The sequence below is a fragment of the Homo sapiens genome, chromosome 1 (genome assembly GCF_000001405.40).
Source record: "Homo sapiens chromosome 1, GRCh38.p14 Primary Assembly".
Lineage (NCBI taxonomy): Eukaryota > Metazoa > Chordata > Mammalia > Primates > Hominidae > Homo > Homo sapiens.
The window spans coordinates 240,111,285-240,137,683 of NC_000001.11; the positions used below are offsets into that span (position 1 = coordinate 240,111,285).

Consider the following 26,399-nt stretch of genomic DNA (forward strand, 5'->3'; position numbering starts at 1 on the left):
TAAGAGAGGGTTCTTGGATCTTGTACGAGAAAGAATTCAGGGCAAGTCCTTAGAGTAAAGTGAAAGCAACTTTATTAAGAAAGTAAAGGAATAAAGAAAGGCTACTCCATAGACAGAGCAGCCCCGAGGGCTGCTGGTTGCCCATTTTTATGGTTATTTCTTGATGATATGCTAAACAAGGGGTGAATTATCCATGCCTCCCCTTCTTTGACCATATAGGGGAACTCCCTGATGTTGCCATGGCATCTGTAAACTGTCATGGCACTGGTGGGAGTGTAACATGAGGATGACCAGAGGTCACTCTGGTCACCGTCTTGGTTTTAGTGGGTTTTAGCCGGCTTCTTTACTGCAATCTGTCTTATCAGCCTTATCAGCAAGGTCTTTATGACCTGTATCTTGTGCTGACCTCCTACTCATCCTGTGACTAAGAATTTCTTAACCTCCTGGGAATGCATCCCAGTAGGTCTCGGTCTCATTTTACCCAGCCTCTATTCAAGATGGAGTCACTCTGGTTCAAACGCCTCTGACATCGGGATTGAGATCCAGGAAGTAGCTTCTGTTGCTTAAGCTATGGCTGCAATCCCATGCCTCCCCACATGGGTGTACTTCATGAAGTCAAGGTACAGAGTCCACGTGTTTTCAGGGGAAAGGAATAGGCAGAAAATAAGGAACACTTTCCATCCTATAAAAGAATGAGAGAATTCTTCATGGTTATACTATTCTAGATTTCTTCAGTTCTGCATAATTAGGTATATAATATGTAATATGTGTGATCAATGACATGGGCCTTTCCTAGATAAAGATAACGTGACCTTTGACAAGACACCTAACATCCTTAGGCCTGCATTTTCTTTTTTTTTTTTTTTTGAGACGGAGTCTCACTCTGTCACCAGCTAGAGTGCAGTGGTGTGATCTCGGCTCACTGCAACCTCCACCTCCTGGGTTCAAGTGCGCCTCCTGCCTCAGCCTCCCGAGTAGCTGGGACTACAGGCACGCACCACCACACCCAGCTAATTTTTGTATTTTTAGTAGAGACCGGGTTTCACCCTGTTGGCCAGGTTGGTCTCGATCTCTTGACCTCATGATCTGCCTGCCTCGGCCTCCCAAAGTGCTGGGATTACAGGCGTGAGCCACTGCATCTGGACAGGCCTGCATTTTCTAGTTCAGAAAATGATATTAGAGGCTGGGTTTGAAGGACAGGAAGATGGCCCCTCCCACTGAGTCTTTTATTTGGGTGGAGGGAGGAAAGGGAGCAGAAAGAGCCCAAGAAACTTTGCCCGTCTCCTGCCCTTATCTTTATAGAGTTATAAATTTCTCAGAAACTAGCATTTATATACTTATAAAGTTTATAGCAATCTGTGCTATAGAGATGATTTTATCAGCTTTTGAGAATTTTCTCCACTTGCAGTGTTGCTGCACCTGCTGGGGGTGTGTTCTCTAGGCAGTGTCAGAGCCTAACTCTTCCTTTATGGGGATTGCACTTGCGTTTTCCTGATAAGTGACCCTGGGACAGTGTGTGCTTCTGAAGGCCTCCCTGGCTGACCCTGTGGTCCGGGCCCTAGGGACTGACCTTCTAGCTGGCACCAGCTCCTGCTGTGAAATGGCTGCTGCCCACAGGCAGTGTTTTGTGAGCTGTTCATTCAGCAGATAGATTTTTGGCAAATTGACTTAGTGCTGTTTTGCAAAGAGTAGGAGCTCAGGAAATATGGTTGAATAAATAAACGTAAGCAAATATGAAGTAAAATGCAGGCTTGAATAGCTGGACACTTGAAAAAGTTAAAATTACTCTAGGGCCAATGATTTTCATTTATTGGTGTGGTTGACATGTCTGTCTAGGAACAGTGATTTGACCAAGGAGTAGAGTGAGGGGACTGGGGGATACCTTGACTGGGGGATACTGTGGTCATGGGGTGTGAAAGCCCGTGTCAGAGGGAACCGGGAAGCCTCTGGTTCCTGGCCCCAGCCAGCCAGTTTGCACAGTTAAGAAGTAAGATTGTGGCCGGGCACGGTGGTGCGCACCTGTAATCCCAGCACTTTGGGAGGCCGAGGTGGGCGGATTGCCTGAGGTCAGGAGATCGAGACCATCCTGGCTAACATGGTGAAACCCCATCTCTACTAAAAATACAAAAATTGGCCAGGCATAGTGGCACACGCCTATGGTCCCAGCTACTCGGGAGGCAGGAGAATCGCTTGAACCGGGGAGGCAGAGGTCGCAGTGAGCCGAGATCACGACACTGCACTCCAGCCTGGGGGACAGAGCAAGACTCCGTCTCAAAAAAAAAAAAAAAAAAAAAATAAGGTTGTGTTTAAGGCTTCAGGGCAGTCCATTCTCCCTAGTTTAGATTCAAGGCATCCTAATCCTATTTAGTAGGTGAGTGTCTCCTGATTAAATTCTCAATTATCAAATGCAGGAAGAGAAATAAAAGTTCATGTCTCTGTCCACTCCCCCTGACCTGGTTGGTCAAATTACATTCCTTGAACAGAAAAGGAGTTCAGTATAGTCCAGCTGGAGTGTGTGTCCTGGAAATAACAAAAACTGTTTGCCTTCCCACCACAGCGATTTTGACTCTTTAATAAACTGTGTTCGTATCTCTTGGTTTTGCAAAATCAGGAACATGCTTTGTTTAGTTTTGTGATCTTGAATTTTCACATGATTTTTGTGTCACATATTTCTGTGTAAGTAAATGTTTTTAATAGTGTGATTTAAGATATTTTATTGTGAAAGTGGAATATACACACTCAGAGAATTACAATGAATTCCCATGAATCCATTACTCAGCTTCAGTAATCATCAATATTTTCAATGCCATAATAGTTTTATCAACCCTTTTTTTCCACTTCTACCCCATGCCACCTACTTTTTTGTGAAATAATTTAAAACAAGCTCCAGACATCATGTTATTTTAATATCAAATATGTATCTCAAAAATGGACTTTTAAAGTATGCTACAATGTCATTCTTTATATTGAAAGCAAATAGAGTAAGTTGTTCAATATTACCTGGTAACTAGTCCATCCTCAGAACTCTCTGATACTCTAGAATGGATGCTAGGTGCAATCTGACAGTTGAATTGGTTCATGCTGAGTTCTCCTTTCTTTTGTTCCAGAGGCTGGGGGACAGCAGGAAAGCTCGATGGGGGATGCTGTGTACTTTATGATCACCCCCAGCAGGGGCCCACCATGTCTGGCTTTCTCAGTTGTCCTGAAGCTGTGAATGATCCCTGGGTTTGGGGCTGACAGCTTGATCCTTTCTTTGCAAGAGTTTCAATTGACCTTTTCTCTAATGGATTTTCCATCCACTTGCTGTTCTTTAAGTGAACCCATTATTTCATTAGGGATTGCAAAATGGTGATTTTCTAATTATATCATTTCTTTTTTTTTTTTTTTTTTGAGACAGAGTCTCACACTCTGTCGCCAGACTGGAGTGCAATGGCGAGATTTCAGCTCACTGCAACCTCCGCTTCCCAAGTTCAGGTGATTCTCCTGCCTCAACTTCCAGAGCAGCTGGAACTACAGGCATGCTCCACCATGCCCAGCTAATTTTTGTATTTTTAGTAGAGATGGGGTTTCACCATGTTGGCCAGGATGGTCTCGATCTCTTGACCTTGTGATCTGCCCACCTCGGCCTCCCAAAGTGCTGGGATTACAGGCGTGAGCCACCGCGCCCGGCCAATTCTATCATTCCTTTTGCACATTTTGGCTGGAATTTTTCTGTATTGAAGACTTTATTCACTAGGTATGGTTGTTACCCTGAAATACAGTTCTTTCTAGAAAGGCAGCATAAATGCCTCATTATTTCCTATTCTGTTATCAGTGCCCTAGCATTCTTCAGTGATAGCTGATGTTTTATTTTTCTGGTTTCTTTAAATATATTTAATATGTTTAAATCAATTAAGTGATTATTCTTTCTGTAATAGCATGGCTTTTAATGGCTGTATAGTTAGCAGTCATGTGTATAAAGCTATCTTTTTTTATTTATGTCTGTATTGTTGGACATTTTAGTTCCTTTGAATTTTGGTACTATTAATAATCTATTTGTTATAGTACCAGGAACTGTGATAAATACTTGACATGCATTATCTCATTTAGTCATCATAATACTCCCATGATGCATCACTCTGAGGATACCTCTGAATATTTACCTAGAATAGCTTTTATAAAGTTGAATTTCTGGGTCAAAGGGGTGAATTTTTAAAGATCACTGACACACATTGCCAAATTGCCCCTTAAAGCTTTCCTTGTCGGTGCTGATGCCCACTTCTGGGTTTTGGGATACCTTGAGTTCAGGTTGAGGGACACTGGAGGAACAAAACTGGTAAACCTGCTGGTTTGGTGGTTCTTTGAATTCTCATCTTTTTCCCCAGTCCTCCTGCTATTACAATACAGTCTTGTCACAGAGCCAACCCCAAAACTGGGGTTCTGCCTGGGAGAAAACATGGGTTCTTGGCTTCCCTCAGGAAGCAATTCAAGAGGGAACCACAGAGCAAAGGGAAAGCAAGTTTATTAAGAAAGTAAAAGAATAAAAGGGTGGCTACCCCATAGGCGGAGCAGCCCTGAGGGCTTCTGACTGGCTATTTTTATGGCTATTTCTTGATCATATGCTAAACAAGGGGTGGATTACTCGTGAGTTTTTTTGGAAAATGACAGGAGATTCCCAGAATTGAGGGCCCCTCCCCCTTAAAGAACATACAGGGCAACTTCCTGAGGTTGCCATTGTATTTGTAAACTGTCCTGGCGCTGGCGGGTCCATGCTAACGATTCCTTTAGTATGCTAATGATTATCTTTGGCATATAATGAGCAGTGAGGACAACCAGAGGTCGCTTTCATCACCATCTTGGTTTTGGTGGGTTTTGGCTAGCTTCTTTTTCACATTCTGTGTTATCAGTGGGTCTTTGTGACCTGTATCTCAGGAAAGCAGTCTTGTGGAGCTCCGCTCTGTCTTCAGAGGCTTCACGTAGCTGCCCCAACTGCCCCATGCATTCCGTCCAGGTATGGGGCCCCTTCTTCCATACTCTGTTAGTGCGTTCACAAAGGTCTGCCCGGTTTCAAAGAATGGGGTATTTAGAGACTGGGCGAGATTATGGGAGAGAATATAGAAAGAGTTGAGAGAATAAGCTGTGGGGTGAGCCAGGAAGCACTCCGACATTGCCGTGTTGGGTAGAGAAGCCATTAAAAGGGACTTGGGAGAAAATGGCTAGCGAGTTAGAGAAAATAGGGGAAGGGAATATCATGAGCTGAGAGTAAAATGCTTTAAGGAGTAGGAGTAAATCAACAGTGAAATTTTTCTGAAAGATAAACTAAGTAGGATGAAGACAGAAATGTTGGCTGGGTGTGGTGGCTCACCCATGTAGTCCCAGCACTTTGGGAGGTTGAAGCAGGAGGATTGCTTTTGTCCAGAAGTCTGAGGCTGCAGTGAGTTATGATAGGGCCACTGCATTCCGGCCTGGGTGACAGAGGGAGACCTTATCTTTAAAAAAAAAAAATGGAAACAAAAAGTTATTGATACCATGCTGCCCAGCAGCTTCTGGCACATCATGGGCATGGAAATCAAATTAGAGCAGACTGAGCAAGGAGGGAGAGGTAGCAAACGTAGTTAATTCCGGTTAGTAGTTTTGATGTGAAGGGAAGCCAAGAAATGGAATCGTAGCTGGGAGCGGAGAGTGATGTGGCTCAAGGGAGGATTTGTTCTTTCGGTTTTTTTTTTAAAGCATGTTTGTGTGATACTGGGAATGTCCAGCAAAGAGGGAGGTGTTTGTGTTTCAGGAGAGAAGGGATAGCCAAAGAAGTGAGATCTTGGCACGCAATAAGGAATTCAGCTCAGAACACAAGGGAAAGAACTTGCTCTTGTTTGTCACAGGGCCTCTTTCCATTGTGAGGAAGACAAGTGTGAGCATTTTTGCATATTTGGAATTTGTCTCAGATTCTTCCATTGTCTCAGTAAATCATTTGACAATATCATCTCATCATTGGGAAGAACGGGTCAGGTGGGGAGAAGATTGTTTAAACATTGTATTGGAGTGGAAGCTTACATGAGAACCCACAGCAGTGTTGGCCTCCTTGAGGTATATAGCTGTGCACTGAAAGTCAAGACAGACAACACCTGTGTGGCTTTCTTTTACAATGTTCAGTTGTTCAGGTGCAGGCAAAGAGAAAGTGGATGGCTGCGCCGAAACAGGTCGTGGTTTCACCTGACAAGCGTGGTGGAGGGAGAGAGGGATAAGAAAGCTGAAGTGTTTGAAGTATGTAATTATAGTGATAGAACATGGAATTTAAGCCGCTGCGGAAGGAAGTGACACAGCACGAGTGATGGATTGTGCAACAGTAGTAGGGACAACTGATTCAAGGTCAGCATGCTGGATGGAGCAGTAGAAGGGGTTCTAGAGTAAGAGCCTAAAAGTAGAAGGTAGTTCTCAGGAGTTAGATGCTGCATTCAGGCATTTGTACATAGATTCATTGATGATCGAAAAATTAATTGATTATCCCGTCTTTGCCAGCCACTCCTTGAGGTCCTGAGTAGAAGGTGGTAAACACACAGCAGGGACTGCTGAAATGGAGTTTACGCTCCAGGAGTAGGAGACAGATCACAGACTTACATAAATTCAAGGGCTAAGCTCTCTGAAGAATAAAGTGGATAATGGGAACAAGAGTAATGGGGTGTGCTCCTTCAGAAAGGGTATTAGGAAGTTCTCTCAGTGAAAGTGACCACTGACCAGAGACCTGAATGAGATGAAGGAGTGAGGGAGTCATTGATGTATGCAGAAGAAGAGTGTTCTAGTGCAAAAGTCTTCATGGTGAGAGTGAGCTCAGTGTGTTTGAGGAGGAGAAGGCCAGTAGGCAAGAGTGGTGAGAGGTGGGAGGTAGGGAGGTGGCTCTTGCATCTGGTGAGTGTTGCGGGGGTTGTGACTGATTGGGGCTGTTGCCTTGGGTTATAAAATAATTTACTGAAACAGTAGTGAGGTGAAGAATGCAAGTTTATTAGAGAGTAAGTACGTTGCAAAGGGCAACGGGTAGCACAGCAGAGAAGGGGCTGTCTGCCAAGAGACAGGGGCTGGGGGAAAGTTTGATAGGGTCCTGCTTGTGGGGCCACTGTGCAAATAAAATGACGCTGCTGGGGCTGCATGCAGAGTGAGGTGTCTGGGAACAGGATAGTGTGCAAGCAGGTTGTTTGTGGTTAGCAGTCACTCAGAACAATTGTTCTCCCCCACCTGGGACCCCCCTTCCTCGTTGTTGCTAACTTACCTATCAGGACTGCACAGTGAGGGATTTGATTTTACTCTGAGGGTGATGGGAACCCACTGGAGAGTTTGGAGTAAACTTTGGAATTGATCTTCTGGAGGTTGTACGGTTCCTGATAGTGACCAATATGAGGCTGTGAGATGGGAATGGGTGGCTGTTTTGTGGTGGAGAAAATGTTAGCTGGAGGCAAGGGGATCAAGGTCTCGGGCGAGGTATCCTCCTGAGCAATGGTTTGCTCTCCATGTGGATGTCCAAATCACTAAGAATGATAGGAGCAGAGGTGGAACGTGGGGCAGTGAGGCAGGAGGTGAGTTATTTAGTGAATGACGAAGGGAGGGAATAACTAGAGGTTAGTGGATGGCAGAAAGGAGGAGGGATAGTAGGGTCTAGCCAGTGGCAGGAATTTTCAGAAAAGCTCATGGTTTTGAAGGAGAATAAATCATCTGGAAGTGTTCATGGGGAACAAGGATGTTACCCACGTTTTTTGCCTCAGATGTGAAGGATTTGACTTAAAATGCCTCCACCTGGCCGGGCGTGGTGGCTCACACCTGGAGTCCCAGCACTTTGGGAGGCTGAGGTGGGCGGATCACGAGGTCAGGAGTTCGAGACCAGCCTGGCCAACATGGTGAAATCTCCTCTCTACTAAAGATACAAAAAATTAGCCGGGTGTGGTGGCGCATGCCTGTAATCCCGGCTACTCAGGAGGCTGAGGCAGGAGAATTGCTTGAACCTGGGAGGCGGAGGTTGCAGTGAGCCAAGATCATGCCATTGCACTCCAGCCTAGGCGACAGGGCGAGACTCCATCTCAAAAAAAAAAAAAAAAGTGCCTCCACCTGAGACGATTGCAGGGCGAGGATATCCTCAAGGGAAAGCCTAGTTATCACTAAAGAAGGAGGTGAAGTTTCTTTAGAGAGAGGTTAGGCCTGGGGTTCTCAGCCTGGGGTTATTTTTGCCCCCTGCCCCAGGAGACACTTGGCAATGTCTGGAGACATTTTGGGCTGTTACAGCTGGGGGCGAGGTGGCTGTGCCACCGCCATCCAGTAGTAATGGCCAAGGATGCTGCTAAAAGCACAGGATAATTTCCCCCACTACCGCTAAACACGGAAATACCAGGCCCAGGGTGATGATAGGGTTGTGGTACAGAGACCCTTGATTAAGGATTTCGGGGCATATGCTTTCATGGAAGTAGAGTTCCAGCAGGTCATCATTTTCTCTCCTCCACACTGTTCTGGAACTCCTTTGATAATTTTTGGCTGGATGTGCACGTACACATTTACCTTCAGTCACACACATGCAAGATCCTGCTGACCTTATTTTTTGTCATATACATTATCTGAGCGGTAGGAAAGAATTAGTCTTAGGGCTATTTTCAGTAATTCGGTAACATGAATACAACAATCTACTGTTATGATAATTAATCACTTGAGAATTGAGGGATGCCATTTCCTAGATATTTAGTTCCAGTTAGATGCAGGCAAACTGAAGTTCTGTAGGGGAAAAATTTGTTATTTCCCCTCCAAAAAATCCTGGGAGACCAAAGAATGTTCTCTAATGACCAGAAGAAATGGAGAAAATAGAGAGATCTCTTGTGTCCTGCTTTGTCACTCGAAATATCAAAGGCAGCTTTTGAGATTAGTTTTGTTTTATAGACAGAAATACAAAGAGGCATAACAACTGCATGACTAGTATCCTGGTAGAATGGAACATTTAGACATTTGAAATGTAGTTATTGTAACTGAAGTATAGACTTGGCCTGGTTTTGCAAAGCCTGGAGCTAAGAATGGTTTTTACATGTTCAAAGTTGCTCAAAACAAAATTAAACCAGTGAAAAATATGCGACAGAGACCTTACGTGTGGCTCATAAAGCCTAAGATACTTACTATTTGGCCCTTTACATAAAAAGTTTGATGGTATAGACTGATAAATCATTTCCAGTTCTGACTATGATATGAATGAATCTATCACAGAATCATAGCATTGTATTTATTCAGAAATCCTGAAAATATTTATTGATGCTTTTTATGTGCAAGTGACCAAGTTTGCAAGGTAGATGCTGGCCATCAGCAAGTTTATATGTCAGTGAGGAAGGTCAACTTTAAACAAATGATTGCATAACTAATTAGATAAAATAATTAATTACACAAAGAAACTATGAAGGGTTCCAAAAGAGCATGGAAGGGGATTACTGAAGACTTTTCTGGATAACAGTTGATCTAAATTTGAAGAAAGAATCTGCTAATTAGAAGGAGGAGAAATTGTGGCCCTGGAAGGGACCCTAGAGATTTTCCATTTCCTCTGATGAAAGTTTGTGAATGCAAAACAAGCTACATAAATGTTTGAAAGTTAAAGAGCTAGGCCAGGCACGGTGTTTTACGCCCGTAATCCCAGCACTTCGGGAGGCTGAGGTAGGCAGATCATTTGAGGTCAGGAGTTCAAGACCAGTCTGACCAATATGGTGAAACCCCATTTCTACTAAAGCTACAAAAAAAATTAGCTGGACATAGTGGTGCATGCCTGTAGTCCCAGCTACTTGGGAGGCTGAGGCAGGAGAATCGCTTGAACCCGGGAGGCGGAGGTTGCAGTGAGCCGAGACCGCGCCACTGCGCGGGTGACAGCGAAAGTCTATCTCAAAAAAAAAAAAATGTGTCAGAAAAAATTAAGGCCTATAGCTATGACTCTGCACTCTCGCTAACATTAGAACCAACTGACAACCAGTAGAAAACTGATGCCTGAGCCCGGCTTCCAGCAATTCTGTTCTCCCCAGGTGATCCTCAGTTTCAGCCAAGATTGAGAACCCCTGGGCTAGGTGGACCCAGGCCCTCTAGGATCCTCAGCCAGTGTCTTATTTTTTTTATTTTTATTTTTTTTTTTTTGAGACGGAGTCTTGCTCTGTCGCTAGGCTGGAGTGCAGTGGCGCGATCTCGGCTCACTGCAAGCTCCGTCTCCCGGGTTCAAGTGATTCTCTTGCCTCAGCCTCCCAAGTAGCTGGGACTACAGGCGCTGGCCACCAAGCCTGGCTAATTTTTTTTGTTTTGTTTTTTGTATTTTTAGTAGAGACGGGGTTTCACCGTGTTAACCAGGATGGTCTTGATCTCCTGACCTCGTGATCCGCCAGCCTCGGCCTCCCAAAGTGCTGGGATTACAGGGGTGAGCCACCGCGCCTGGCCCAGTGTCTTCTTATTATGCCTCTCTTGCCTTTTTTTAGGGAAATAGTAAAAAAAAAAAAAAAAAAAAAAAAAAAAAAAGTCCTTAAGTTCAGACCTATGCTAGAGTTATATTTCTGAGGAGCATCTGAGAGAAATGTGAATTTTTATCCCTTTTCTGGGTGACTTATTTTTATTTTGCTGGCCAGCTCTCTTCTTGTGGGTTGGTGCCTTTGCCTGCCTCTTCGTCTCTTCATTCTCTGTCCCCGCCATGATGGACACTGTGAATGTCAGTCACTGATATTTCTGAGTCTAAATGGCGGCATGATGCGTTACGAACTGCTTCCTTCGAGAACCATCTGCAATTAAATTCAAGCGGTTTAGCCTTTTGGATCCAAAATTAATTAATTAATTTATTTATTTATTTATGAATTATTTTTTGAGACAGGCAACACTCTTGTTGCCCAGGCCGGAGTGCAATGGCGTGATCGCGGCTCACTGCAACCTCTGCCTCCTGGGTTCAAGCGATTCTCCTGTCTCAGCCTCCTGAGTAGCTGGGATTATAGGCACCCACCACCACGGCTGGTTATTTATTTATTTATTTATTTATTTATTTGAGATGGAGTTTCGCTCTTGTCTCCCAGGCTAGAGTGCAGTGGTGCGATCTCGGCTCACTGCAACCTCCGCCACCCAGCTTCAAGCTCCGCCACCCAGGTTCAAGCAATTCTCTTGCCTCAGCCTCCCAAGTAACTGGGATTAAGGAGCCCGCCACCACGCCTGGCTATTTTTTGTATTTTTAATAGAGACGGGGTTTTGCCATGTTGGCCAGGCTGGTCTTGAACTCCTGACCTCAGGTGATCCACCTGCCTCAGCCTCCCAAAGTGCTGGGATTACAGGTGTGAGCCACCATGTCTGGCCTTGGATCCAAATTTAAATCCAAAATTGGATTTACCAATTAAATCCAAAAGGGAGCTGAGTGAGGTGGTGTGTGCCAGTAGCTCTAGCTACTTGGGAGGCTGAGGCAGGAGGATGGCTTAAGCCCAGGAGTTTGAGGTAAGCTTCAGCAACGTAGTGAGACCTCATGTCTATTAAAGAAAAAAAATCTGAGCTGGGCGTGGTGGCTCACACCTATAAATCTAGCCACTCAGGAGGCTTAGGTGGGGGGATTGCTTGAGCCCAAGAGTTCAAGGCCAGCCTGGGCAACATAGCAAGACCCTATCTGAATTAAAAATCTTAGATGGAAGCTGTATAGCCCATAACTTCGCCTGTTGTCTTTTGAGGCAGGAGGTATTTAGGGGGATGAGAGAGCAAACCAGTTCTGCAGTTTTTTATGTGGTAACTCTGGCCTCAGACTACAGAGCTTTCTCCTAGCTTGAGAGGCTCCTTTCTGCGCTGTCAGTAGCCTTGGAAACGGTGTTGTTCCCTGGCAGTGTTTACCCAGCCGCTGTCCCCTGGCGAGTTCAGAGCCAGGTGATCGGCAGTGCTCGCTCTTAATGACTGTGTTTCATCTGCAGGGCGAACGCTGTTGGAGAAGCTGTTCAGCCAGCAGGAGAACGGGCCTCCAGAAGAAGCAGAGAAGTTTTGCTCCCGGATCATTGCCATGGGTCTTCTCCTTCCTTTTAGTGATTGCTTCAGGGAACCGTGTAATCAGAATGCCCAGACGAATGCAGCTTCGTTTGATGTAAGTAGGAGAATTCACTTCTGTCCGTGAGGCAGATTTGCTGTGGAAATAGCAGCTACGATGTGTATCTGCCCAGTCACCCTATAATTTAAAAACAACATGTGATTCAAGCATTTTTTTTCCTTAGCTGCTCAACAGCTCGGTATGTCTGTTTGTACACAAAAAAAAAAAAAAAAAGAAAGAAAAAAAACTAGCGTATTAAGTACATTTGCCAAACCTCCTTTTCTTGACAGATGGTCACTCAAGAGTTCTCTAGCCTGCTTTAATCAACGATGATTTTAAAAATTGATTTCTAAATTATTTTTAATTGTGGTAAAATACAGACAACATAAAATTTACCTCTGTAACCATTTTTAAATGTACCGTTTAGTGGCATCAAATACATTGACGTGGTTGTGCATCCACCACCACCATCCATCTTTAGAACTCTTTTTTATCATCCAAAATAAACCCTGTACCCATTAAACAATAACTCCCCATCCTCCTCTTTCCCCAAGCCCCTGGCAACAACCATTCTCTTTCTGTCTCTATGAATCTGACTATGCTAGGTAGCTCATATAAGTGGAATTATACAGTATTTGTCCTGTTTGTGGCTGACTTATTTCACTTAGCATGATGTCCTTGAGATTCATCCATGTTGGAGCATGTGTCAGAATGTCCTTCCCTTTTAAGGCTGAATCATATTCCATTGTATGTATATGTTGCATTTTGTTTATACGTTCATCCATCAATGGACATGTGGGTTGTTTCCACCTTTTGCTGTAATGCTGCTATGAATATGGGTTCATAATGAGTGAATAATGCCGCTATGAACATGAGGTACAAATACCTCTTCAAGACCCTGTAATCAGCGATGATTCTAAAGTGGCTGTAAGTCCATATGTATGACTTGGCTGGTCGTAGGCATTCCTTCAGAAGCAGCTCCACGGGGCACAGTTATTCTTCCCAGTGGGCCGGAGGTTTCCATGGGCCCTACGATGCTATTTTGTGCGTTCCTAACTCATGTTTGTGTGAAGTACGGACGTGAAGCAGCATTGTCTGCTTCATCCCCAGCTCCCATTCACCAAGAGAGTTAATACTGTACAACAGTAATTCACCAGGCATATTCACAATTCATAATGAATATGAACACAGCTGGATTCTCATTGTCAAGGCAGAGTATTGCCAGTCGTTCTCAGGTATGTGGTATGTGTGTGGCATTGGTTGGGATGAGTACGCCTCTAAAACCCAGATGTGTAAGAATTCTCGTGGATGAAATTCTCATAACAAAATTGAAGGTTGGCTCACTTGTGCAGAGCCCAGGATTTTTAGTTGAGGATAATGATTTTTCTTTTTTTTTTGAGACGTAGTCTCACTCTGTTCCCCAGGCTGGAGTGCAGTGGCACTATCTTGACACACTGCAACCTCCACCTCCCGAGTTCAAGCGATTCTCCTGCCTCAGCCTCTTGAGTAACTGGGATTACAGGTGCGCACCACTATGCCTGGCTAATTTTTGTATTTTTAGTAGAGACGGGGTTTCACCATGTTGTTCAGGCTGTTCTTGAACTCCTGACCTCGTGATCCACCCGCCCCGGCCTCCCAAAGTGCTGGGATTACAGGCGTGAGCCACTGCGCCTGGCCGTGGTTTTTCATCATATGGGTTAGTTACTTTGTTTTGTTGCTGCCAACAGTGCTCTCTTATCAGCCTTCTTCAATATATAGGAATAAAATAATGATGAGCTTTAAAGACAATGACAAAGCCCCAGCTGAGGTCAAGATACGATAATAAATAATAAAGTGTCTATATCTGCCTGTTCACTTTGCTTCCTCTTCTTTACCCATTACAGCCTGCAGTCTTCCTCAATCTTCCTTTAGTATTAAGAAAATAAATCACATAAAATATTCAGAGAGCTTCTTGATTCTTGATGCTTCCCATTTGAAAGAAAATTCCCCATGTTGTGCTGTGACTTGTGAAGTTTCCTTCCTGAGATTTGTTTACATTTTTCCTGCTGCAATTTTTTAAAATGACATTGCAGCTAATCGCTGCTAGGTAGATCTCTTTCTCTTATGGGAAAAAATATATAACTTAAATGTTTTCCTCCCTTCTCTTGTATGACAGGTCTGTGTTATTGTAGAGGCAGAACGCTAGAATGATGGTGTGTTAAATGTTATAGAGCTCAGTTCTAGAAGATATATTGATTTGGCAAGTTGGAACTATAATTAGTATAGTGCAGGCAAAGGCAAACACTAGCCATGTCTAGCACTTGCTTTTTGATTCAAACTGTTCCCAAGTTAACGGCATTTTCCTCCTTTAAAGCCCAGAAGTGAACAGTCTTGCCAGTCGATAAATGTAGAATTGGATAAACAGAAAAGAATAGGGTAATCCTATTTCTTTCTCTCTCTCTTTTTTAAAATCAACTAACCTGGTTGTTTCTTATACTCACCTCACTCCATCCTTGTGTTAGAGACTAGTAACTCTTCCCCATCATCTTATTTTGGAGGGCAGCTGGGTGTGGCATCGAGCGTGAAAAACAAACAACAAAGGTATAAAATCCCTTAATGTTGTGTGAAGGCATTTCCTCAGAATTGGGAATTTCTTTCCTTCAACTTGATGTGATTGCATTTTGTCTTCCTTTATTCATTGGCTCTGTACGACCTCTCTACTCCCCCATCAAAGTGAACATAAAACAAAGAAGAAAATTAAAGATACTCTTGTATGAAATGTTATGCCCTATACTTAAATAGCAGCTCAGTAACAGAACTATGCGTTCATTGGATGCGCAGTCAAGGAGTTTCTTGAAAACTGGAGAGGGCGACGATATAATGATACAGGGGGTTCTGAGGACTGGGGTGTCAATGAGGGATGAGGAAGAATGTGCTTATCTATGGGGAGAGAAATTTTCGATAATTAGTATCTCTGCTGATTTCCAGAAAATGGCTGTTGGGGACATTTCTAACTAACAATCCTCTTGAGGTCAGTTGCCCTTCGAGACAGAACATGCTGTGGGAATAATGTCATAACTGGTACCCTTCCTACCTACCCCCCCCCACTTTGTTCCCTTCCCTGATGGGTTCCTCTCCCCCACCTCCTTATCCTCTCCGTTCTCATCTTTGCACTTATGTATGCAATTACAGCAATAAAGATCTTCAGTTTGGGGCTCTTCACTGATGTAGTTTATGTATTAGCCTACTTGACTCAACCCTTCTGATTTTGTTTTATGTTATTTTATACAATTTTAGGGCCTAACATTTTGCTTTATCGAGTGTTATAGAAAGTATGAAAAGACTTCACATTTTCTCTTACATTTTAATATGATTAAGATGTCAAGAACTTTAAAAGACAAAGATGGCTTTGAGGGATGCTGTTAATTCATTCACAGATTTTTACCAAATATATTCATTCTAGAAGCCAGGCAGTGTTTTAGGCTCTGGAGATGTGTTAGTGAGCAAGAGAATGTGTTCTGTTGAAATGTGTTTCCTATTCAAAATGGAGAGAGACAGATTTTTTTTCAGAATGCATAGGCTAATTAATTGCTCTCAGATTCTAATAAGTGATATGAAGGAACACAGGACCAACAGGATGGAGTGAATGGCGTGGGGGTAGGATGAGCGCAGAGGGGAGCCTGTGAGATGAGGTCTGTGGGAAGGCCATTCCAGGCAGCTCCCAGGGCAAGTCCAAAGGGCCTTGGAGGAGCACAGACATGACTCAGAGGAAGCTGGGGCTTCAGGAGATGAGGACAGCAAGGGCTCAGGCCACAGCACAGGCAGGGTCTGGAAAGCCGTGGAAGGAATATGGCTTTTTTTTTTTTTTTTGAAACGGAGTCTCGCTCTATTGCCTAGGCTGGAGCAAGATCAGAGGCATGATCTTGGCTCACTGCATCCTCCGCCTCCTGGGTTCAAGCAATTTCTAGCTAATTTTTGTATTTTTAATAGAGACAGGGTTTCGCCATGTTGGCCAGGCTGGTCTTGAACTCCTGACCTCCAGTGATCTGCCACGTCGGCCTCTCAAAGTGCTAGGATTACAGGCATGAGCCACCATACCTGGCTTTTTTTTTTTTTTAAATGGGAGCTTTTGGGAGGTTTTATGCAGGGGAAGAACATATTTGTCTTATATTTCATGTGGATCACCTGGCCTGGTCTTGGTTTGCTTGTTGTGGTGGTGGTTGTTTTTGAGACAGGGTCTTGCTCTGTTGCCCAGGTTGGAGAGCAGTAGCACAATCATGGCTCACCGCAGTCTCGATCTCCTGGGCTCAAGCGATCCTTCCACCTCACCCTTCCAAGTAGCTGGAACTATAGGCATGAGCCACCATGCCCAGCTAATTTTTTAAGTTGTTGTTATAGACAGGGTCTCACTGTGATGTCCCAAGTTGGTCTTGAACTCCTGGGGTCAAGCAGTCCTCCTGCCTTGGCCTCCCAAAATGCTGGGATTATAGACATAAGCCACCATGCCCGGCCCCCAGCCTGCTCTTTGAATGATTGAGTGTAGGCAGGCACAGAAGTAGAAGCAGGAAGGCAGGTGGGATATGGCAGTAGTTTAGTTCTAGATGGTGGCTGTAGGTTGGGGCAGGACGGTGACAGGGGAGATGAAGACCAGTTAGTAGGTTGGGGTGGATTCTGGAGGTATGGCTGATGGGACTTCTGGTGGGGCAGACATGGCGACAAGAGAACACAAGGAAATCAAGGATGACTTCTTGGTTTGAAGCAGCTGGGTAGATGGTTGTGCCATTCACTGAGGTAGAGAAGACAGCTGCATTTTGGGAGGAGGATATAAGGATAGAACTGCTAGCAAGAGAAAACAGGGATCATACTAATGCTTGCTACTTGGCAGATTATATTGTTGACTTGTAGATCATGGTATATTTCAGTGGTCTGAAGCTAGGCTTCTTTGTGTATTTGGAACCTACTCTAGTCATTTCTCTCATGCCTTTTTCCAAATGAGATCCCTTTTTTTGGGTCATATGCATATTTTCCAGCCAACCACACTTATCTTACATAATTGTTGATTATTCATTAACAAGCTCTTCTAGGATTTCTTTAATCCTAACTGTGGCATATATTATATGATCTACTTACATCACCAAGAGTTAAGCAAGTTTACTTGACCCAACCATTTTTGCAGGGGTAGGTGATTCTAAATCTACTTAATCCTTCATGAGCTTATCTTTAAATGTCTGCCTAGCAGGATATTTTTGGATGCATGTTTTTGGTTGCTGGACTTGTTTGGGTTTGGCAGATCTGCTGATTTTGCTAAACATGTGGTGATCCCTTGCTCACCAGATGGGCAAGAGCTCCTTGATATGTATGTAAATGGACATCGGTTTGGATGAATATGTGAGCGAAGCTAAAATTAAAGACAAGGAAGACATAACAATTCAGGTTAAAAAGAAACCCAAGAAATAAGATCTTGAACCTGTTGAAAGATGAAGCTGTTAATCAAAACCAACAGCAGCCAGTCCCGGAAAACTAATGAAATATGCTCTACTCATTGTTACCGTAGACAAAAAGAAGACTTAAGTGGACAAACAGAAATTATTATGTGCATTTGAATTCATTTTTTTTTCTTTTTTGAGACAGAATCTCATTATGCTGCCCAGGATGGAGTGCAGTGGCGCGATCTTGGCTTACTGCAACCTCCGCCTCTTGGGTTCAAGGGATTCACCTGCCTCAGCCTCCTAAGTAGCTGGGATTATAGGCAGGCACCACGACGCCGAGCTAATTTTTGTATTTTTAGTAGTGACGAGGTTTTACCATGTTGGCCACCCTGGTCTTGAACTCCTGACCTCAGGTGATCCACCTGCTTTGGCCTCCCAAAGTGCTGGGATTATAGGTGTGAGCCACCTAGCCCAGCCTTGAATTCATTTTTTTTTCCAGAGCAGGAAAAACATTTTAATGCTATTTAGTCAAGCCCACACAGATCTTTTCCTGAGAAGCAACAAAAGCCTTGCCACATCTTTCAGCTCTAAGAGAATATAGATATACGTATATATTTTTTGCTGTATATTTATTTTTGAAACGTTGTGTACAGTATCAACTTTCAAAGTTGTTTTTATTTTAAAGATGGTATTAAGATGATACTTAATTTTTTCAGACCAACTTTAACAATTATTTTAGCTGATGATTTTGTTTACCAAAATTTATATAAGCTATGTGGACTTGCTGTATGTTAATGCCTGCTGATGCCTTTTTTTTTTTTTTTTTTTGAGATGGAGTCTCTGTCACCCAGGCTGGAGTACAGTGGCGTGATCTCAACTCACTGCAACCTCCGCCTCCCAGGTTCATGCGATTCTCCTGCCTCAGCCTCCTGAGTAGCTGGGACTATAGGCACATACCACCATGGCCAGCTAATTTTTGTATTTTTAGTAGAGATGGGGTTTGGCCATGTTGCCCAAGCTGGTCTCGAACTCCTGACCTCAAGTGATCCACCCCCTCAGCCTCCCAAAGTGCTGGAATTACAGGCATGAGCCATCACGCCCAGCCACCATTATTGACATTGCTCTTGCCTTCTGGCGGTCATGCATGAGGATTTAGCTCCTTTATACTCCTTCCTTGTCTCTCCTTCTTCCTTCTAATATAATTAATATTGCTATTTTGAGTTTTCTTTCATAATACTTCTTTGAATTTTAAATAATATGCTTATGATTTTTTGATATTGTTTCATCAAATTCAGATCGTATCTCTTGCCACCCCACTCACCGTGTAATAGTTACACTATTAGTGTCTCTACTTTTGCCTTCATTTAGTCTGAGCCCTGTTTACCTCCCAGCTTCTACCAGATACACTTTTATGTTTAGGGCATACTTTTAAGGTTAATAGTTTATCTATAAGTTGAAAGACATATGGATGCTGTGTGAATATTGCACTGCAGAGGCAGATATATTCTGATTTTGCTTCCTTTTCAGTATTCCAATATCACAACCCCCAGGCCACTCAAACAAGGATTTTCCTGGGTCAAGTTCAAAAGAATTTTGTGGTTTTATTTATTTATTTATTTATTTTGAGACAGAGTCTCACTCAGTCACCCAGGCTGGAGGGCAATGGCATAATCTCAGCTCACTGCAAACTTTGCCTCCTGGTTTCAGGCTATTCTCCTGCCTCACCCTACTGAGTAGCTGGGATTACAGGTGGATGCTACCACGCCCGGCTAATTTTTTGTATTTTTAGTAGAAACAGGGTTTCACTGTGTTGGCCAGGCTGGTCTCTTACTCGTGACCTCAAGAGATCCACCTGCCTCAGCCTTCCAAAATGCTGGGATTACAGGCGTGAGCCACCACGCCCAGCTGAATTCTGTGTTTTTAGTAAACAATCACTTGCTCAAAAGTATCCCATATTTAGTTTAGTTTACATTTGGCTTATCCTTTTCTTATACAGGGAACTCCCATCCAGCACAACAAAGTTTTCGACTGCCTCTTATTTTCTTTTTTGGGTGAAGAAACATAGCTTTTCCCCCTGTATTCTCAATATTTTTTATTTTTCAGCTCATTCTTGCCATTTCATGGAATTCTTAAATTCTTTCTCTTCTAATTTAGGTCAGGTTCTTCGTATTTAATTATGACTTCCGCTTGTACTTCTCAGCTCCCTCTTTCCCTTACAACACCTGTCCCCCAAGCCCCTGCCCTGTTATTAGGAACACAAAGATGAAAAGAAAGGTTCTATCCTGAACTGGCTTACGATTCACTTTAAAGAAATAAACACATGGAAGTAAATTATTGGAGCTTAGTGGTTGAAGTGGGCTCCACAGTCAAAGTGTCCAGGATTTCTCAACTATGCTGCAAGCTTAGGTAAATGGCTGGATTTCTGAAAGTTTATTTCTTCTTGGGTAAAATGAGGAATAAATATAGTAGTTTCTGAGTGAGAGGAAAGTATGGATACGAATAAAGCATTTTGCACACTACAGGCATATAGTAAGTGTTCAATGCCCTTTGCCTGTTACCATGGGTCACAATCGTGTTTAGGCTCCAAGTGGAGATATTTATAGTACAAGGAGCAAAGGGGAAGGTTTTTAACTGGGTCTCCTTGATAACTCAGGAGATAACACCTGGGGCAAGACCTGAGGCATGCGTAGGAGTTTGCTGTGGGGAACAGCCATGAAAGAAGTCTATAGGTCGGGTGCGGTGGCTCACACGCCTGTAATCCCAGCACTTTGGGAGGCTGAGGTGGGCAGATCACCTGAGGTCAGGAGTTCGAGACTAGCCTGACCAACATGGTGAAACCCCCGCCTCTACTAAAAATACAAAATTAGCCAGGTGTCTTGACACATGGCTGTAATCCCAGCTACTCAGGAGACTGAGGCATGAGAATCGCTTGAACCCAGGAGGCGGAGGTTGCAGTGAGCCAAGATCGCACTATTGCACTCCAGCCTGGGCAGCAGAGCGAGACTCTGTCTCAAAAAGAAAAAAAAAAAGTCTGTATACTGGGCAGCACATAGAAAGGCACAGGGGTGCATGTGAGCACAGTTTCTAAGTATTTCCGGAGTATAAATTGGGAGAATGATGCGTAGAAAGGAGACCAGGGATGTAAACAAAGACAACCTGGGGGTGCTTTTGAATAATTTTGAGTAGTTAAGCCATAAACAGATTGGCATTTGTAAAATATCACTGTGGTGGCAGATTGGAGAATGGATTGAAGAAAACTAAAATTAGCATCTGAGTGATCAGAAGAGTGTCTGAACTGAAACAGAGGCAGTGGGATTGGAAAGAGCCAGCTATAGGGAATCTTTAGGATTTAGAACCGACAGGACTTGCCATTTGATTGGATGTGAGGAAGTGGAGTAGATGATTTCTTTGAGTTTCTGGTTCACATTTCTGGGATACTGTACTAAAGAGTTAGAATACTAAAGACGGAACAGATTTCAGAGAGAATGATCATTCTCTTTTGACATCTAGAATTTGTGATTATTTGGGACTTTATGGAGGCTATACCTCAAGGGCAAGGGAACTGATATTGCTGGCATAGACCATAGGTTGTATGGTAAAATCATGAGCAAATAAATCTCGTAAATTAAGAGAAAGTTGACCAATCAAAAGATTAAAGTTCTTAAGGACAGTGGAGAATAATTAGATGTAGTGAGAATATAGAGAGAATGAATTCATTGGTGGTTGTGGCCAGAGGGAAGGATATTGGTGTTTAAGACTTCAGAGGTGGAGGTGTTCTACTCATTCCAAAGACCAGTCCATGGTGGAGAGGTAGGCTCGTTGTGATTAGAATTGAGAAGCTCAGGGTGTTGGCTGGGACTTAATGTCCCATAGAATGTAGAAGAGTCAACCTTGAGAAGCAGAGAGAGGACCATGTGGTAAAGTCCTTGACATGTGAAGGCTATACCAAGGAGGTTTGTCAGGGTCTGTGATGAGGAGGGGTAGATGCTGATACCCCTGGGTGATACGGGCTTTGGAAGTGGAGTGGGTTACGCTCAGGATGGACGTGGAATACTCTCTAGATGATCATGGAGGGCTAGATTAGAGGGTCGCGGTATGAGGGAGGATTGGAAAAATCACCTTTCAGGTTCAGTCATCGTTTGGCTTGGATGATCACATTGGCCTTTTCATTACCTTCTTGGGTTTGCCTGTTACTGGTTTCCAGTCCAGTCTCCTCAGCCTTGTCTAGTGGTTCTCATTCCAGGGTTATGTTGCCCTGCAGAGGACATTTGACAATGTCCAAAGACATTTGGGGTTCTCACAGTAGGGAGAGGGGTGCAACTAGCTTCTAGTGGGTAGAGACTGGGGCACTGCCAAGCATTCTAAATGCACAGGACATCTCCTTCTTTCCCCTAACAAAGAATTACAAAATGTGCAAAATGTCAGTAGTGCCAAGGTTGAGAAATCTAGTGATATATGTCTGATCATGTTGTTTTATTTTATTTTTTGAGACAGCATCTTGCTCTGTCATCCAGGCTGGTGTGCAGTTGGGTGATCACAGCTCACTGCCTGCCTTAACCTCCTGGGCTCAACCGTTCCTCTCACCTCAGCCTCCCAAATAGCTGGGACTAAATGCAAATGCCACCATGACCAGCTAATTAAAAAAAATTTTTTTAATAGAGGTGGGGTCTCCTTATGTGGCCAAGGCTGGTCTTGATCTCCTGGGCTCAAGTGAGCCTACTGCCTTGGCCTCCCAAAGTGACGGGATTACAGGCATGAAACACCGCACCTGGCCATGTCATTTTAATTGTTTCTCTATCAGAATAAACTCCAGCTTCTTTGGATCTCCATGGTCTTCCTTCTGCCTTTCAATACTTTCCCACTTCTACCTCTCCTGACCCACTTTCCTTTCCAAACTCTTTTGCCACGCTGAAGTGTTATTGATTTTCCTAATTGTCCATGTCTTCTCTCACTTGTGGGGCTCTGTGGGCACCTCTACTTCTGCTCCCCACTATTATTTCCCAGTTAGCCTCCACTCTTTCTCATAGGATGCTATTCAGAGTTAGATGCCATTCCTTCCCAGACATCTTCTTTAGCCATCTCAGTCTGCATTTTCTCTCTCAAAGGATATATTACACATATTATAATTGCCTATTTACCCTGTAACACCTGAATGCAAATTAAATATTGTGTGAAGGTTCCTTGAACAATGTAATGCTGTGTCCTTGTGTTTACCTGACAGATCTCCCCAGAGTAGTTAGGAGTGGTCTCTAGTCCTAGACTGGATTCTAATCCCATCTTCTCCACCCACTTAAGAGGTGAAAACATTTACCCAAGGTCACATTAAAATTTTTCATGTCTAATAATCTCTGGAGTTGTTTTGAAGATTAAATGAGATTAATTTATTAGGCATTTAGCACAATGTCTAGCACATCATCAATGCTAGGTAATTATTAGTGATTGGTATTTAATATTATTGCCTTTCAAGTTCTTATTACAGAATCAGGCATAACTGTTTAATAAATATGCCTTGATTTTGTAAAGAAGAGAGCTGTAGGAAAGCCATGATGACTGCAGTGAGGAGGAACTGGAGAATCTATTCAGTGAATTGTCTTGAATGATCAAAGGTTGCCTATGTTTGATAATCTTGAAAACACTTGGACTGGGTGTGGTGGCTCACACCTGTAATCCCAGCACTTTGGGATTGGGAAGCTGAGGCAGGAGGATCGCTTGAGCCCAGGAGTATGAGACCAGCCTGGGCCATATAGGGAGACTCTGTCTTTACAAAAAATTTAAAAAATTAGCCAGGTGTGGTGGTGCACACCTGTAGTCCCAGCTATTGGAGAGGTGGGAGGATCACTTGAGCCTGGGAGGTTGAGGTTGCAATGAGCTGTGATTGCACCACTGCACTTCCACCTGGGCAATAGAGTGAGACCCTGTCCCACCAAAAAACAAACAAAAACAACAAATAAAGAGAGACAGAGAGAAAAAAGAAAACACTTGAAGAGGGAGAAGATGGGAGAAGGGATGGGATCTGGCTGTGTTCTGGAATTAATTTATTAGTCTGGGAGTTGACTCTGTATTGGATCTCTTCTTCTGGGCTTATTGCCATCCTCCTTTCTCAATCCATTTTACTTAATTTTACTGCTATAATTACCACATTCCTTCACCAACCCTCATGCCCCCACATCTTTCTGGATGGAGTGGAAGGGAAATGGAAAGAGTAGGGAAAGCTACGGGGAGGTAACTGCAAATTGTGAAGGGAAATCTGTCATGCCCACTTGGTGTTATGTTCATGACCATCCCGTAGTGACTCCATGCTTTCCCTAGGTCAGTCTGTGGAAGTATTGCACTTGAATATTGACATGCGTTGTGCTTATTTAGCTCTCTGTGTGTATGTGTGCAAGTGTCTGGCATACTTGACAGATAACGTGGCATGGAAGAATGAATCGTTTTGCTTTCCCTAGCACCTCACCAAAGAATAGGGACCTCCATTTCATCTAGAATTCCTAAGACAGGGAGGAACCAGAGAGGGCTGGAGATTGTTTTGCTACACAACATTGCTCTTCTCTTTCAAAGAGTTCATTTTATTTTCTTGATTGGATAATTTCTTGTGGGGTAAAATCATGGATGGGAACAGTCAATACATATAAATAGGAAGAAATCTGCTTACTGAGTTTTCTGTAAGGGATATTTTCCAATCCAATATTACTTTTTTCTTATGAAGTCAATTTATTTCATAAAGAATATAATAAGTGGATATGTATCCAGAAGTTCCTACTCGATTTCTTTCTTTGAAGGCTATGCACTTGTTATATGGTTTGAAAAAAATTGCCTCGTATGGGGAACTTTTCTTTACCACAATATTGATTGTATAGTGAGTTAAATTATGTCCCCTCTGTTTGTAGTCAGATAGTTCAGTGTGAAGTAGAAGGCTTTCAATATATATTTTAAAAATTGTTAATTCTCTGGAATCTATCATTTTCGAAAGGACTTTGTCATGTTTCTTTTTTTTTTTTTTTTGAGACAGAGTCTCACTCTGTCACCCAGTTGGAGTGCAGTGGTGCGATCTCGGCTCACTGCAGCCTCCGCCTCCTGGGTTCAAGCGATTCTCGTGTCTCAGCCTTCCGAGTAGCTGGGACTACAGGTACATGCCACCATGCACAGCTAATTTTTGTATTTTTAGTAGAGATGGGGTTTTACCATGTTGGCCAGAGGGCCTTGAACTCCTGACCTTAGGTGATCTGCCCACCCCGGCCTCCCAAAGTGCTGGGATTACAGGCATGAGCCACCATGCCTAGTCATGTTTTTTTTTTTTTAATCAATTTATAGTAATTTGTCCCCAGTTACTACTCAGTGAATGTTTGTATGACTGGATCTTGTAGTAATCAGTAACCAAGTTTTTATACATATGTGTTTAAGCATATGTATTTTTAAGCATAGTTGGAGATTATTATGTTTAAGCCTATTTTGAGATTATTTTATTTTTCTGATCCGGTACGTGATTTAATAAATTTCTAATATGTGTTGCCATTTATGTATCTTATTTCAGAGGGCAAAACGGGTGATGTTTTTCCCCCGTTATGCTCAATTCAAGTGCATCGTTGCAAAAGTAGTAATGATAGTTATTGTTATTCCCCCGATCATGAAGTTTTCTGAGCTCAGAGGAAGTGCTACCAGTCAGTAGTTTCATAGATTTTAGAATGCTTCCCAACAGTAAAGTTAATTGAAGCTTAGAAAAATAGATTTTTAAAAAACACACTCGTGGCAATCAGACTTTTTAAGACAATGACATACTTTCTTCATGATTGTTTTTTCCTCCTTTAAGAGGATTATGCTGTTTTAGATATCCATTTTGACTTTCACAACTGGTACTTTTTTTTAATCACCCATTTGGCAAACAGTGTTGGGTGACTCAGAATTCATTTTGAATTTGTATGATGGACTTTTATTAAAAGGGGTGACTCAGCTCGACTTTTCTGTCATGATTTTCTTTTCTTGTCTTTCTCCTGTAGATGCACTGAATATTAATTAGTTCTATTGATGTGACTTGTATTTCTTCTGACCTCCTTTTCCTTTTCTCAAGAGCCAGGAGGAGTATAAAATTGGGAATCTGGCCTGGTGCGGTGGCTCACACCTGTAATCCCAGCACTTTGGGAGGCCAAGGTGGGCGGAGCACAAGGTCAGGAGTTTGAGATCAGCCTGACCCACATGGTGAAACCCTGTCTCTACTACAAATACAAAAATTAGCTGGGCGTGGTGTGGGTGCCTCTAATCCCAGCTACTAGGGAGGCTGAGGGAAGAGAATCGCTTGAACCCAAGAGGCGGACATTGCAGTGAGCCGAGATCGCGCTACTGCACTCCAGCCTGGGTGACAGAGTGAAACTCCGTCTCAAAAAAAAAAAAAAAAAAAAAAAAATTGGGACTCTATGGCAAAGTGAAGGACCCTGTACAGAGAAAACATGACTTAATTCAGGAGCTTAAAGGGTTTTTTTGTTTCTTGTTTTTTGTTTTTTTTTAGGTCCTCCCAATTTGTACTGGACTTTGGAAATCTGAAAGAAGATTTATTCTCCTGTTATTACCTTTATTGTCTAGATCAGGGGTTGGCAAGTTTTTCTGTAAAGGGCCAGATAGAAAATATTTTAGGCTTTAGTAAATATTTTACAGTGCCTGTCACAACTACTCAAGTCCACTGTTGTGGTGTAAAAGCAGCCACGGACAATACGCCACTAATAAGCACGGCTGTGTTTCCTAATAAAACTTTGTATTACAAAACAGAGCACCTGGCCATATTTGGCTGGCAGGCTGTGGTTGGCTAGCCCCTGCTCTATACTCATGTAATACATAGATAGTAAATTTATTCTCTGAGCTTTTCTTTCTGTCTCTTACCATGTGTGCTCACCAGCCAGTCACACAATATTTATGGAATTTTTCTATGAAAAATATAGGGCCTTTTCTTGTTCTTGTGTAGCTTACTGTGGAAAGGGGCTACTGGGTGAACAGACACG

The 26,399-nt window shown here is 43.1% G+C and overlaps 1 protein-coding gene across 7 annotated transcripts in view; it reads left to right on the forward strand.

The window, feature by feature from the left end:
• The window catches only part of FMN2 (formin 2), a 383,305-nt gene that overhangs the window by 19,402 nt on the left and 337,504 nt on the right, over positions 1-26,399 (forward strand). For all 7 annotated transcript variants that reach the window (NM_001305424.2, NM_020066.5, NM_001348094.2 and 4 more), the window contains exon 2: positions 11,895-12,061. In NM_001305424.2, the coding sequence (NP_001292353.1) occupies positions 11,895-12,061 (167 nt within the window). The remainder of the gene's footprint in view (positions 1-11,894; positions 12,062-26,399) is intronic.